The sequence below is a fragment of the Homo sapiens genome, chromosome 9, assembly GCF_000001405.40.
Source record: "Homo sapiens chromosome 9, GRCh38.p14 Primary Assembly".
In the NCBI taxonomy this organism is placed as follows: domain Eukaryota; kingdom Metazoa; phylum Chordata; class Mammalia; order Primates; family Hominidae; genus Homo; species Homo sapiens.
In genome coordinates this window covers 121,066,619-121,079,914 of record NC_000009.12, presented here as the reverse complement: position 1 = coordinate 121,079,914, position 13,296 = coordinate 121,066,619, and the positions used below count along the sequence as shown (strand labels likewise).

General features: G+C 43.4%; 2 protein-coding genes across 41 annotated transcripts in view, besides 5 other annotated features; one reads left to right on the top strand and one right to left on the bottom strand.

Moving 5' to 3' along the window:
- The window catches only part of CNTRL (centriolin), a 102,656-nt gene extending 97,696 nt beyond the window's left edge, over positions 1-4,960 (bottom strand). For all 40 annotated transcript variants that reach the window (XM_047422667.1, XM_047422671.1, XM_047422669.1 and 37 more), the window contains exon 1: positions 4,848-4,960. The gene's annotated coding sequence lies outside the window, so the exon portion shown is untranslated. The remainder of the gene's footprint in view (positions 1-4,847) is intronic.
- Positions 4,556-4,695: a silencer, noted in NCBI's record as "silent region_20230". NCBI's record gives its function as "represses an Ori minimal core promoter by ATAC-STARR-seq in GM12878 lymphoblastoid cells {active_cell/tissue: GM12878}" and the evidence as "EXISTENCE:reporter gene assay evidence [ECO:0000049][PMID:35858748]".
- Positions 4,816-4,875: a silencer, noted in NCBI's record as "silent region_20229". NCBI's record gives its function as "represses an Ori minimal core promoter by ATAC-STARR-seq in GM12878 lymphoblastoid cells {active_cell/tissue: GM12878}" and the evidence as "EXISTENCE:reporter gene assay evidence [ECO:0000049][PMID:35858748]".
- Positions 4,996-5,385: an enhancer, noted in NCBI's record as "active region_28915". NCBI's record gives its function as "activates an Ori minimal core promoter by ATAC-STARR-seq in GM12878 lymphoblastoid cells {active_cell/tissue: GM12878}" and the evidence as "EXISTENCE:reporter gene assay evidence [ECO:0000049][PMID:35858748]".
- C5 (complement C5) overlaps positions 5,050-13,296 on the top strand; it is a 122,531-nt gene continuing 114,284 nt past the window's right edge. The window contains exon 1 of the mRNA NM_001317163.2: positions 5,050-5,161. Within this exon, the coding sequence (NP_001304092.1) occupies positions 5,079-5,161 (83 nt within the window). The 5' untranslated portion in view covers positions 5,050-5,078. The remainder of the gene's footprint in view (positions 5,162-13,296) is intronic.
- Positions 5,500-5,696: a silencer, noted in NCBI's record as "fragment chr9:123836497-123836693 (GRCh37/hg19 assembly coordinates)". NCBI's record gives its function as "represses an EF-1alpha promoter that drives an FKBP-Casp9 reporter gene in an ReSE screen in both phorbol 12-myristate 13-acetate-treated (for megakaryocytic differentiation) and untreated K562 erythroleukemia cells {active_cell/tissue: K562 | K562(+PMA)}" and the evidence as "EXISTENCE:reporter gene assay evidence [ECO:0000049][PMID:32094911]".
- Positions 7,739-7,788: an enhancer, noted in NCBI's record as "active region_28914". NCBI's record gives its function as "activates an Ori minimal core promoter by ATAC-STARR-seq in GM12878 lymphoblastoid cells {active_cell/tissue: GM12878}" and the evidence as "EXISTENCE:reporter gene assay evidence [ECO:0000049][PMID:35858748]".

Here is a 13,296-nt window from a genome sequence, read left to right as displayed (position 1 = left end):
TCCACCCTGGGCAACAGAGTGAGACTTCATCTCAAAAAAACAAAACAAAAAAAATCCTGAAGGAAACCCAGAAAATTTTATACAAAGAAAGGATCTCTGATATCATGATCCGGTCTCTCAAGGTGAGTAGTTTGAAAGGAATAAAAACCCCGTCTTTTTTTGTTTTTAAAAAGTTGATTATTATTTCACATACATTACAATATAGCCAAATGCCCCATTCCAATAGCCTCATTCACTACAGGTTAAGCACTCCAAATCTGAAAATCTGAAATATTTAAATATAAATGTAAAAAATATAAACAAGTATAAAGCAAATATTCCAAAATCCGAAAAAATCCAAAATCCAAGACACTTTTGATAGCAAGCATTTTGGACAAGAGATAATCAACCTGTACTTTATTTTTATTTTTTTGGAGGCAGCGTTTCACTATGTTGTCCAGGCTGATCTCGAACTCCTGAGCTCAAGCAATCCTCCCACCTCTACCTCCCAAAGTGTTAGGATTACAGGCATGAGCTACCACACCTGGCCTTCAACCTGTACTTCAAACTGTGAACTTAAATGTATCTGTACTTTTTCCTTCATTTTCTCATATTAAACTATACATATGGATCAGAAAAACTCCCCCAAGTTACATAACTGCTATTTATGCCATTTCCACAAGGCTTTTTGGTCTAAATTTCAAGCGTGGTAAACAATTTTTGTGCCTTATAACACAATTTTGCCATGGAAAAAAGTCTTTTAGTAATTTTAATATTATGAAATACATACTTAGTCTTAGTCCCTTTTGCTATCGTAAGTGTCTTTTTGTATACTAATGAGTTGACTGATGGCTAGCCACCTCTAGGCAGCTTCAGGATCGTGGCTGGTCACTAGAAAGAGGGAGGGGAGAGGGGCTAAAGGTTGAGTTGATCACCAATGGCCAATGATGTAATCAATCAGGCCTACATAATGAAGCCTCCATAAAAAGTTAAAAGACTGGGTTTGGGGAGCCTCCAGAAAGCTGGACACAGGGAGGGTCCTGGAGGGGAATCCACCCAGAGAGGGTGTGGAAGCTCTACGCCCCTTCCCACCTGCCTTACGCTATGCATCTTTTCACCTATATCCTTTGTAATATCTTTTATAATAAACCAGTAAATGTAAGTAAGTGCTCCCTGAATTCTGTGAGCTGCTCTAGCAAATTAATCAAACCCAAGGAGGGAGTTGTGGGAACTCTGATTTATAGCTGGTCAGTCAGAAGCACAGGTAAAACTGAGGCTTACAGTTGGCATCAGAACTTGGGGGCAGTCTTGTAAGCCAGCCTTCAACCTTAGGGATGTGACGCTGTCTCCAGGTAGACAGTGTCAGAATTGAACTGAACTAGAGGACAGTCCTGTGGTGCCCACCACTGCAGAACTAACTGCTTGCTTAATGTGTGGGGGAAAATCCTACGGAATCATGTTGTGAGCGTATAGTGGGAGAAATTGAGTTTAATCTGTAGTCTCAGTAATACTATTTTTTTCTTTTTTTGAGACAGAGTCCTGCTCTGTTGCCCAGGCTGGAGTGCGGTGGTGTGATCTCGGCTCACTATAACCTCCGCCTCCCAGGTTCAAGTGATTGTCCCGCCCCAACCTACTGAGTAACTGGGATTACAGGTGCACAGCACCACGCCCGGCTAATTTTTTTTATTTTTAGTAGAGATGAGGTTTTGCCATGCTGGCCAGGCTGGTCTCAAACTTCTGACCTCAGGTGATCCACCCACCTCGGCCTCCCAAAGTGCTGGGATTACAGCCACCATGCCCAGCCCTCAGTAATACTATTGATGCTGCTAAGCTGCACTGGCATTCTCCTTCTAAATAAGGATAATACTCTAAAATTTGAGAAAAGCTAAGAGGCATGTGCTTAGGTAAAATCTTATTCCTAATTAAATGGATTAAAAGATGACATTTATTATAGTATGTATAGTACGTAGTTGGCGTTTTTTTCCCCCCTGAGGCAAGGTCTTTCTCTGTCACCCAGGCTGGAGTGTAGTGGCATGCTCATGGCTCACAGCAACCTTGCCTTCCTGGGCTCAAGTGATCCTCCTACCTCAGCCTCCTGAGTAGCTGGGACTACAGGCGCATATAACCACGCTTGGCTAATTTTTTATTTTTTGTAGAGATGGGGGGTCTCACTATAGTTCCCAGGTTGGTCTTGAACTCCTGGGCTCAAGTGATCCTCCTGCCTCAGCCTCCCAAAGTGCTGGGATTACAGGTGTGAGCCACTGTGCCCAGCCTGTAGTTTTTACATCCTAATGATCAAGACCCTTTAGGTCTCACCAGACTATCATGAGGTCCTTTATTACCTCTCCTGATTAGTAAAAGTCAGGCTTACTCATTCATAGACTTAAACCCTTGGTTGCCACAGCTTCTGTAAAGCTTGGACACTGAAACAAGATAGACGTAATCAGTCTCAGAGAATAGCTAACTCAGTGAAGTGGGCTTAGGGGTTTACAGTGTTTGAGAATGGCTGGCATTATTTCTTAGGCTACTGCCTGGAGGTGGTAAATGCTGAATTATAATTTTAATGGAGAGATGAGGATGTAGTTTGATCTAGGATGTTGTTTGCAATCACATGAACAAAGACCAAGCAAGCAATGGAAAAATGAAGACAACTGAGAGGTAGGCTAGGGCGAGTAAAGGAGCAGGATAAAGAGAAAAAAAAAGCAAATAAAGTTCAGAGCTGCAGTTGTATTTTAAAGGCTGTCTGCAGAGCAAGAGAAAGCCATTGGAATGACATGATAATCAGAATCCTACGTCCAGGCAACAAAACACTACCCATCCTGCCACCTATAAACCCAGATAGTTGCTCTGATCTAACAATTCAGTCCATCACAGCTTAGTACAGACTGCAAACTCCACCTCCATCCAGCCTTTCCTAACCTTCCTAACTTCCCATCTTCTCTGATCTCCAAATAACGCAGACCTCCTTCTGTCTCTCTACAGACTCCCTAATATGCAAATACCCATCCCCATTTATTAACCCCCATATCCCTCTCCTTAGCCCTTTAATTGGATTTCAGTACTTTCCAAGTCTACTTCATCCCATACCCTCTGACCTACTGAAATACTTTTACTCCTTAATCTTCTCCTCCTTTCAAATATCCTGATTCCGATTCCTCTGCAAAGTCTCCAGCCATTTTTCTTTCCAAAGCCAATTCCCCCATTCTGTGCTGCCCACCCACCTCTGCCTCCCATTCTTCTTTATCCCATTCTGATTGCCAATTTTCCCACAAATTCTATCCCAGTTCCCTAACACAGTAATAGTCTCCCCCATTTCTCTATGGTTCTTTCCTGTGCCCAGACTCAACATTTCTCTATCCATCCAGACTTCCCAAGCTGCTCATCTCTCTTCACCCCAGAAAATACCCTGACATCCTAATGCGTTCCAATACTCTGACCTCCAATTACTCCCCTCCCTAAACAAAATACTCAAACCTCCATCCATTCCTCTTCATCCCAACCCAACTGCCTGCCTATTTGCCTTTCCATCCTAATACTCTAGCCCCCGTATCCTTCTCCATCCTATTAAAAGCCTGAATCCCCTCTCCCATCTCTCTTCTTCTGCTCAGATACCCTAAAACTCAAGCTTCCCATCTCTTTCCATTAATTATTCAATTTTATTGAGCAACTTTTATGTAGGAAGAACCATGCTAGAATCTAAGCTCAAGATGCAGAAGATTTTATCTCCCTATTACCCATGATCTCTGCACCAAGCAGTCTCCTTCATAGCATTTTATAACCATTATTTGTGAAACTACTTGGTTGTTGCCTGTTTCTCCTTCTAGACTATAAGCTACAAGAGAGCAGAGGTTTTGTCTGTTGTTCTATAAACAATAAATATTTGTTGACTGAAGGACTGTACTAAACACTTAGACAATACCAAATTTAAATCCTCAAAGATTTAGCTGTATAGGATCAGAATTATTAACCTGATTTACAAATGGCAATGTACCTGAACAGTTAAAAGCTTGGATTCTGGAACGAAACAGCCTGAGTTCAAATTCTGATTTTCCACTTACTGTGTGATCTTAGGCAAATTACTTAACCTCTCTGGTCCTCAGTGCTATCACTTTTTAAATGGGGATGATAACCTCATACAAGTTATTTTAAATTCTAAATGAGGTTAATACGTGCAAAGTGCTTAAAACTGGATCTGACAAATAGTGAACACCCAAAAATGATTCGCAATTATTTGGACAAATGAGGAAACATGATCAGGAAGGCTCAGACACATATCCAGGGTCACAGACCTGGTTAAGTTACACAAGGTGGCAGAATTGAGGCTTCAACCCAAGTTTGTCTGGCTTCAAAATTCTCTAGTCCCTTAACGAATATAACGGAAGTGTTTGTTCTTCCCCTTCTTTTAGCATTTCGTCCCCATATCCTGTCATCTTTCTCCACGCACTGTACTCCGTCCGATACCGTGACAACCCGTCAGGACGCCCAAACTGTCCTTTCTCCCGCTCACTCCCCACAGACAGCTGGCACATCCCAGCTCTCCCCTCAGCTCAGGTGGCAGGACCCACAACCTTCTGGGCGCCGCACCCTAACTTCCACACCTCCCCACACTCTGGTTCTTCATCCCCAATCGCCCCCGCCGTCCCCACCTCTTCCCATCCAAACCTCCCTCCTTCATCCACCGCCCCACGCCCGTTCCGGGCCCTCCCCTCTTTCCCGTCCAATCCCAATTCCCAGACACGCGCCCCCGCCCCGAATCCATCCCAAGCCGGCCCACACCACGCCCGGTCCGGGCCTTCCCGCCTTTGCCGCCGGCCCCCACTGCTCGGGCCGGATGCCGGGGAACGGGCTCGGCCAGGTCTGACGCTCACCGCCTAGAAGCCGAGCCGAGCAGTCCCGCAGGCTGAGGTAGAGCGGGAGAAGTTCGGGCTCTTTCCTCAGGGGCCCAGCGGCGCGGCAGCCATTTTGTTGTGTTGTGCCGGTTGCCGAGGGGCCGCGCGCGCGTGGTCGGGGCTAGTCTCAGCCACGCCCCTCTCCCTCTCCGGTACTGTTGGAAGGGACGCGGAGGCGTTTCCCGCCTCTTTTGCAGCCAGCGCGCTAGGATGCCGGGGAGTCTTGGGCGCGAGGCTTCCGGCCGCGCGGGGCCGACGGGATGCGGTGCCTTCGCCTTCGGATTGCGTTGCAGGTGAAGTGTCGGGTGCAGAGTCAGGGGGAGCCGAGGTTTCATGCGGCAGCTGCCCGCAGTGCTGTGGCCTTCGCTGAGACAAAGCTGCCGCCGCCACCCTCTGAAACACGGACACGCTTCTCAGGGCCTGTGTCCGAGGACGGCCTGAGGCACCGGCGCAGCGCCTCCCCGGCCTCCCCCACTTCTGATGCTTGCGCGCTATGAGCGAGTGTTCTTATCAGCACACTTCTCTCTGACAGTCGTATCTAAAGCGAATTCCCTCCAGGGACCGAACTGCCCAGGCTCGGATGAACCTCAAAGCGGACGCAGCCTGGGCTCCAGCTGTCGCGTGAGGTTCAGGGAGCTTGGGAATCCTAGGCAGAGGATGTTCCTCTGATTGCTACAAGGGAGTTAAAGCAAGAAGCACTTGCACAGGCTTCATCTGGGGCTTGCCCATGAGCACGGCGTTCACGACATGCATTCAACAGATATTTTAAAGAATTTAGCAGATACTGGGCTGGATGCTAGGGAAACACTGAAGTTTTTTTTAAAGTGTTATCACCATTGACGCCTTTCACTCCAGTAGCCTCCCGTTTTGAAGGTATACCCTGGACCATGTTACCATCAGAGGCTGCACCCGCTCCAGAAATCCCCAGTGCAATCGCTCCCCATCCTTGACTATAATCCTATCATCTTAGCAGCGTGCCTGCTCAAAAGACCCCTATGCCAGCGTATTTCTAAACTTCCTTGCGTCTTCCAGTCCCTTGTTCTTACCATTTTCTCGCGATCATTCTATCCTGTCTTCATTTCCTTTCTTCACTACAGAGTTTATAGGCCACCTGTATAACACTTTTAGAAACTCCCTCTCTCTCTGTGTCTCAGTTTCCTTATCTATGAAATGAGGTCCTTTTACCTATTAACACTTCCTACAGTTTTCCTGATAATTATAAAAGTGAATCCTGGCCGGGCGCTGTGGCTCATGCCTGTAATCCCAGCACTTTGGGAGACCAAGGTGGGAGGATCACTTGAGGTCAGGAATTCAAGATCAGCCTGGCCAACAAGGTGAAACGCCGTCTCTACTAAAAATACAAAAATTACCCGGGCGTGGTGGCGCACGCTTGTCATCCCAGCTGCTTGAGAGGCTGCAGGAGGATCGCTTGAACCCGGGAGGCGGAGGTTGCAGTGAGCCGAGATCGCGCCACTGCACTCCAGCCTGGACGACAGAGCGAGACTCCATCTCAAAAAAAAAAAAAAAAAAAAAAAGTCCAGTTTTCCTGATAATTATAAAAGTGAATCTCTGTGAAAGAACTTAGAACAGTGAGGGACCCATAGTAAGTTCTCAATATGTCTTAGATATTTCATTATTAGACAAAGGTTACCCAGAAGCAATACTTCTTTCTACGCCCAAAAGAAGAGTTTAGGCAAGGAGTAGGGAGGTGGGGAAGAATTTGCTTGGCAAAGGGAACAACTTGTGCAAACCCCGGAAGCGGGGGAAAAGAGCTTGGCAATGTGCTGAATGTTAAGTAATTCAGTGTGGCTGGAACAAAACATGAGTATGGAAACATGAAGTAGTTCAGTATGGCTTGTGCAAAAATCTGGGGTGGAGAAGCTAAATCTGGAAAAGGGACCATATTATAAGCAGTATTAGGCACTTCATTTTTCCTTAAGGCAGAGATGGCTTCACCTCTATAGGAAATTCAGGGGACGTCCAACAGGGAATAAGCTGCAATAAACATGGGGATGCAGATGTGTCTTTGATTTACTTTGATTTACTGATTTCCTTTTCCTTTTACTTAAATGTGATTCCCATTGACATTTAAGTGAATGGTGCTGTCCTCTCCCCAACTATTTACACGACACAGAACGAAGCCCTTGGAGTTTAAACGCAGAATTTTTGAAAAGCTCCACTTAAGAGGAGATTACATTCATTTTTTTTCTTTTCTTTTTTTTTTTTTTTTTTTTAATTTTTTGAACAGAGTCTGGCTCTGTCACCCAGGCTGGAGTGCAGTGGCAGGATCTCGGCTCAGTGCAACCTCCGCCTCCCGGGTTCAAGCGATTCTCCTGCCTCAGCCTCCCGAGGAGTTGGGATTACAGGCACGCACCACCAAGGCCAGCTAATTTTTGTATTTTAGTAGAAACAGAGTTTCACCATGTTGGTCAGGCTGGTCTCAATCTCCTGACCTCACGTGATCCGCCCGCCTCGGCCTCCCAAAGTGCTGGGATTACAGGCGTGAGCCACCGCGCCCTGCCGAGATTACATTCATTTTTAATCGAAGTTCAGGTGATATTTATTAGATTGGAATGTGTACGTTGCTGAGTTTCAGTTCTATTTGCATATGTTTTGACACCCATCGTTTCGGTTTCTTGTACCCAGAAACTTAGATTTATTGCGTAACCTCATTGCTGTGTCCCTCAAAGTCTGTAATGGTATTCACGTGGGATCCATTATCAAGCCGTGGTGTGCTGATGTAGTTCATTATCAATCATATTAGTATCAATTAATAGCCATCAAATATACATAAAAAGTCCAGAGGGTGGCGCAAAACACTTTTCTCTTGGGTGATCTCTCAGTCCGTATCCAGTTAGCCGCGGATGGGCACTCACCGGTCCCATGTTGCCCCCTTTTCCTCCTCATACAGACCTCTGCTGGTGTCTAGCATCATCTCTAACGAAGCTAGAGACTTCAAAGGAGAGACCTTTCTCCAGTTAATTTGAATATTAACTGTCTCTCTTAGCATGCTAAAAGAACTTCCTTCTCCAAAGCAGAAGTGAGAATACGAAAGTAACGCAGACAACTCGCGTTCCACACTATTTTTCTTTATCTGATATTATGAAGAATGTACTCTGAGTTGCATTTACAATACAAATATTAGCCACGTCAGGGTGACCAAGCTTTTACTCAGTCTTTTTTCCAAATGATAGCAAAGCTATTCTGTTTAAACTTCCCTCAGCTTTTTGCAACCCAGTTTAATCATTTTGCGAATTTGTTTTAGAGAAGAAACAGACTAGTTTGTCAGACAGGGATGGCAACTTTCATTATTGCCATTTCTTTCTGTGACTGGCCAGTGTGATTTTGTTGTTTTGTTTTTTAAGACAAGGTCTCACTCTGTCACCCAGGTTTCAGTGCAGTGACACAATCATAACTCACTGCAGCCTTGACTTCTCAGACTCAAGTGATCCTCCTCCCTCAGCCTCCCAAATAGCTCAGTCTATAGGTGTGCACCACCACACCTAGCTAATTTTTAAACTTTTTGTAAAGATGGGGTCTTGCTGTGTTGCCCAGGCTGGTCTTAAACTCCTGGGCTCAAGCGATCCTCCCACCTCAACCTCCCAAAGTGCTGGGATTACACGCATGAGCCAGCATGCCCAGCCTGATTTTTTTTTAATTTTTATTCATTTATTTTTTTTTGTTTTTGTTGGTGTGTTTTGTTTTTTGTTCTTGTTTTTGTTTTTTTGAGACAGAGTCTCACTCTGTTGCCCAGGCTGGAGTGCAGTAGCACGATCATGGCTCACTGCAACCTCCACCTCCAGGGTTCAAACAATTTTTGTGCCTTAGCCTCCCCAGTAGCTGTGATTACAGGTGTGTGACTCCACGCCCAGCTATTTTTGTGTATGTGTGTGTATTTTTAGTACAGACAGTGCTTCACCATGTTGATCAGGCTGGTCTTCAACTCCTGGCCTCAAGTATCCGCTTGCCTTGGTCCCCCAAAGTGCTAGGTTTGTAGGTGTGAGTCACCATACCCAACCTTAATTTTTATTTTTAAATGACATGTAGTAACTGTACATATTTATGGGATACATAGTGATGTTTTAATACATATAAATGTATAGTGGTTGGAGTAATTAGCATATCCATCATCCCAAACATCATATGTTTATTTTAGGAAGATTTCATACCCTCCTTCTAGCTATTTGAAACTATATAATATATTATTGTTAACTATCCTCATCCTATAGTAAGTATAGAACACTAGAACTTATTGCTCCTATCTAGCTATAATTTTGTATCCTTTAAGATATCTTTCTCTCCTTCCCTTCCCCCTGCTACCCTTCCCAACCTTTAGTATCCTCTGTTCTACTGTTTACTCCTATGAGATCAACATTTTTCAGCTTCGACATATGACTGAGAACATGTGGCATTTAACTTACTGTTCCTGGCTTATTCACGTAATATACTGTCTTCCATTTCCATCCGTGTTGCTGTGAATTACAGTATTTCATTCTTTTTTATGGCTGAATAGTATTCCATTGTAAGTATGTATGTATATATATATGAATACGCACACACACACATATATATACACATACAGAATATACATATATATATACACATACAGAATATACATACATATATATATATATATATATATATATATATATATATATATATCACCCTTCCTTCCTTCCTTCTTTCTTTCTTTCAGAATTTTGTTCTTGTTGCCCAGGCTGCAGTGCAATGGCATGATCTCAGCTCACCGCAACCTCTGCCTCCTAGGTTCAAGCGATTCTCCTGCCTCAGCCTCCCGAGTAGCTGGGATTAGAGGCGCCTGCCAACATACCCAGCTAATTTTGTATTTTTAGTAGAGATGGGGTTTCTCCATGTTGGTCAGGCTAGTCTCGAACTCCTGACCTCAGGTGATCCACCTGCCTCGGCCTCTCAAAGTGCTGGGATTACAGGCATGAGCCACTACGTCTGGCCCACATTTTCTTTATCCATTCATCTGTTGGACACCTAGGTTGATTCCATGTCTTGGCTATTATGAATAGTGCTGCAATAAACATGGGGATGCAGACGTGTCTTTGATATACTGATTTCTTTTCCTTTGGATAAATGCCAAGTAGTAGGATTGCTGGATCATATGGTAGTTCTATTTGTAGTTTTTTTGAGGAACTTCCACACTGTTCTCCATAGTGGATATATTAGTTTACATTCCACCAACAGTGTATGAGTCCCTTTTTCTGGCTGGGCAAGGTGACTCACACCTGTAATCCCAGCACTTTGGGAGGCTGAGGTGGGAGGATCTCTTCAGCTTAGGAGTTCAATACCAGCCTGGAGAAGATAGTGAGACCTCATCTCTACTAAAAATCAAAACCATTAGCTGGGTGTGATGGCACTTGTCTGTAGTCCTAGCTACTTGGGAGGCTGAGTGGGAGGATTGCTTGAGCCTGGGAGATTGAGGCTGCAGTGAGCTATCATCATGCCACTGCAATGCCGCCTGGGCAACAGAAACCAAAAAAAAAAAAAAGAGTTTCTTTTTCTCCACATCCTCCCCAGCATTTGTTGTTTGCTGTCTTGATAATAGCCATCCTAACTGGGGTGAGATTATACCTCATAGTGGTTTTGATTTGCAGATTTGCATTTCCCTGATGATTGATGATGGTGAGCATTTTTTCATATATTTGTTGGTCATTTGTATGTCTTCTTTTTGAGAAGTGTCTATTCAGATTATTTGTCCATTTTTATACAATTTTGTTGTTGAGATGTTTGAGTTCCGTGTGTATTCCAGATATTAATTCCCTGTTATATGAATAGTTTGCAAATATTTTCTCCCATTCTCTGGGTTGTTTCTTCACTATGTTGATTGCTTCCTTTGTTGTGCAGAAGCCTTTTAGTTTGATATAATCCCATATGTTTATTTTTGTTTTTGTTGCCTGCATTTTTGAGGTCTTATTCATAAAATCTTTCCTAGACCAGTGTCCGGAACCATTTCCCCTATGTTTTCTTCTAGTAGTTTTATAGTTTCTGTCTTACATTTAGGTCTTTGATCCATTTTGATTTATATATAAACTCACGTACAAGGTTTTTATATAGGGGGAGATGTAGGGATCTAGTTTCATTCTTCTGTATATGGATATCCAGTTTTCCCAGGACCATTTATTAAAGAGACTATTCTTTCCCCAGTGAGTGTTCTTGACATCTTTGTCAAAAAACCAGTTGGCTGTAGATCCATGGATTAATTTCTGAGTCCTCTATGCTGTTTCATTTGTCTGGCTATCTGTTTTTATGACAATATCATGCTATTTTGGTTACTACAGCTTTGTAGTATATTTTGAAGACTGTTAGTGTGATGCCTCTAGCTTTGTTCTTTTTGTTCGGGATTGCTTTGGCCATTTGGGTTCCTTTGTGGTTCCATAAAAATTTTGAGATTTTTTTCCTATTTCTGTGAAGAAAATCATTGGTATTTTGATAGAGATTGCATTGAATCTGTAGATTGTTTTGAGTAGTATGGTCATTTTAATAATATTGATTCTTCTGATCCATGAAAAGTGAGATGTCTTTCCATTTGTTTGTACCCTCTTCAATTTCTTCCATCAGTGTTTTGTAGTTTTCCTTGTAGCAGTCTTTTACATCCATGCTTAAAATTATTCCTAGGTGTTTTTTTAATAGCTATTGTAAATGAGATTGCCTTCTTGATTTCTTTTTTAGCTCATTTGTTGTTTGTGTATAGAAACACTACTGATTTTTGTATGTTGGTTTTGTACTCTGCAACTTTACTGAATTCATTTACTAGTTTCTAATATATTTTTGTGGAATCTTTGGGGTTTTCTACATATAGAATTATGTCATCTGCAAATAGAAATAATTTTACCTCTTCCTTTCTGATTTTTGATGTCTTTTATTTCTTTTTCTTATCTAATTGCACTTGCTAGTTCTTCCAATCTATGTTGATTAGAAGTGGTAAGTTTGGGATCCTTGCATTGTACCAGATCTTAGTGGAAAAGTTTTTAGGTTTTTTCCATTGATGATAATGTGCGCTGCAGGCTTCTCATAAATAGCCTTTATTATGTTGTATTAGTCCATTTTTACCCTACTATAAAGAACTGAGTAATTTATAAAGTAATTACTGAGACTGAGTAATTTATAAAGAAGAGAGGTTTAATTGACTCACAGTTTCACATGGCTGGGGAGGCCTCAGGAAACTTAAAATTATGGTGGAAGGCAAAGGGGAAGCAAGGCACATCTTTTGAAGCAGCAGGAGGAGAGGGGAAGTGCCACACTATTAAACCATCAGCTCTCATGAGAACTTACTCCCTATGGTAAGAACAGCATGGGGAAACTGCCCCCATGATCCACCCACCTCCCACCAGGTACCTTCCCTGACACGTGGGGATTACAGTTTGACATGAGATTTGCGTAGGGACACAGTGCCAAACCATACCATATGTTTCAAATGTTGAGGAATTTTCCTCTTTTTTTTTTTTTTTTTAGATGGAGCCTCACTCTGTCACCAACCAAGCTGCGAATGCAGTGGCGCGATCTCGGCTCACTGCAATCTCCACCCCCCGAGTTCAAGTGATTCTCCTGCCTCAGCCTCCCAAGTAGCTGGGACTATGGGCACGCACCACCACGCCCAGCTAATTTTTTTTGTATTTTTAGTAGAGACAGGGTTTCACCATGTTCATCAGGATGGTCTCAATCTCTTGACCTCATGATCCGCCCACCTTGGCCTCTCAAAGTGTGGGAATTACAGGCGTGAGCCACCGCGCCCTGCCTATTTTTTTTTTTGAGATGGAGTTTTACTCTATCACCCAGGCTGAAGTGCAATGGTGCAATTATGGCTCACTGCAGCCCTGACCTTCTGGGACCAAGCGATTCTCCTGCCTCAATCTCCTGAGTAACTGGGACTACAGGTATGTGCTACCATGCCTGGCTAATTTAAAAATAATTATTGTCAAGATGGGGTCTTGCAGCATTGCCCAGGCTGGTCTCCAATTTCTGGCCTCAAGTGATCCTCCCACCTCAGCCTCCCAAAGTATTGAGATTGCAGGCATGAGCCATCATGCCCAGCCAGGAATTTTCATTTTATACCCAAACTGTTGAGACTGTTTATTAATAAAGGATGTTGAACTTTGTAAGATGCTTTTTCTGTGTCAGCTGAGATGATCATGTGTTTTTGTTTTTTTTTTTTTTCTTTTTTTGAGACAGAGTCTTGTTCTGTCGCCCAAGGCTGGAGTGAGTGCAGTAGCGTAATCTGGGCTCACTGTAACCTCCACCTCCCAGGTTTAAGCGATTCTTCTGCTTCAGCCTCCTGAGTAGCTGGGATTACAGGCACGCACCACCTCGCCCGGCTAATTTTTTTTTTGTATTTTTAGTAGAGATGGGGTTTCATCATGTTGGCCAGTCTGATCTCGAACTCCCGACCTCAGGTGATCTG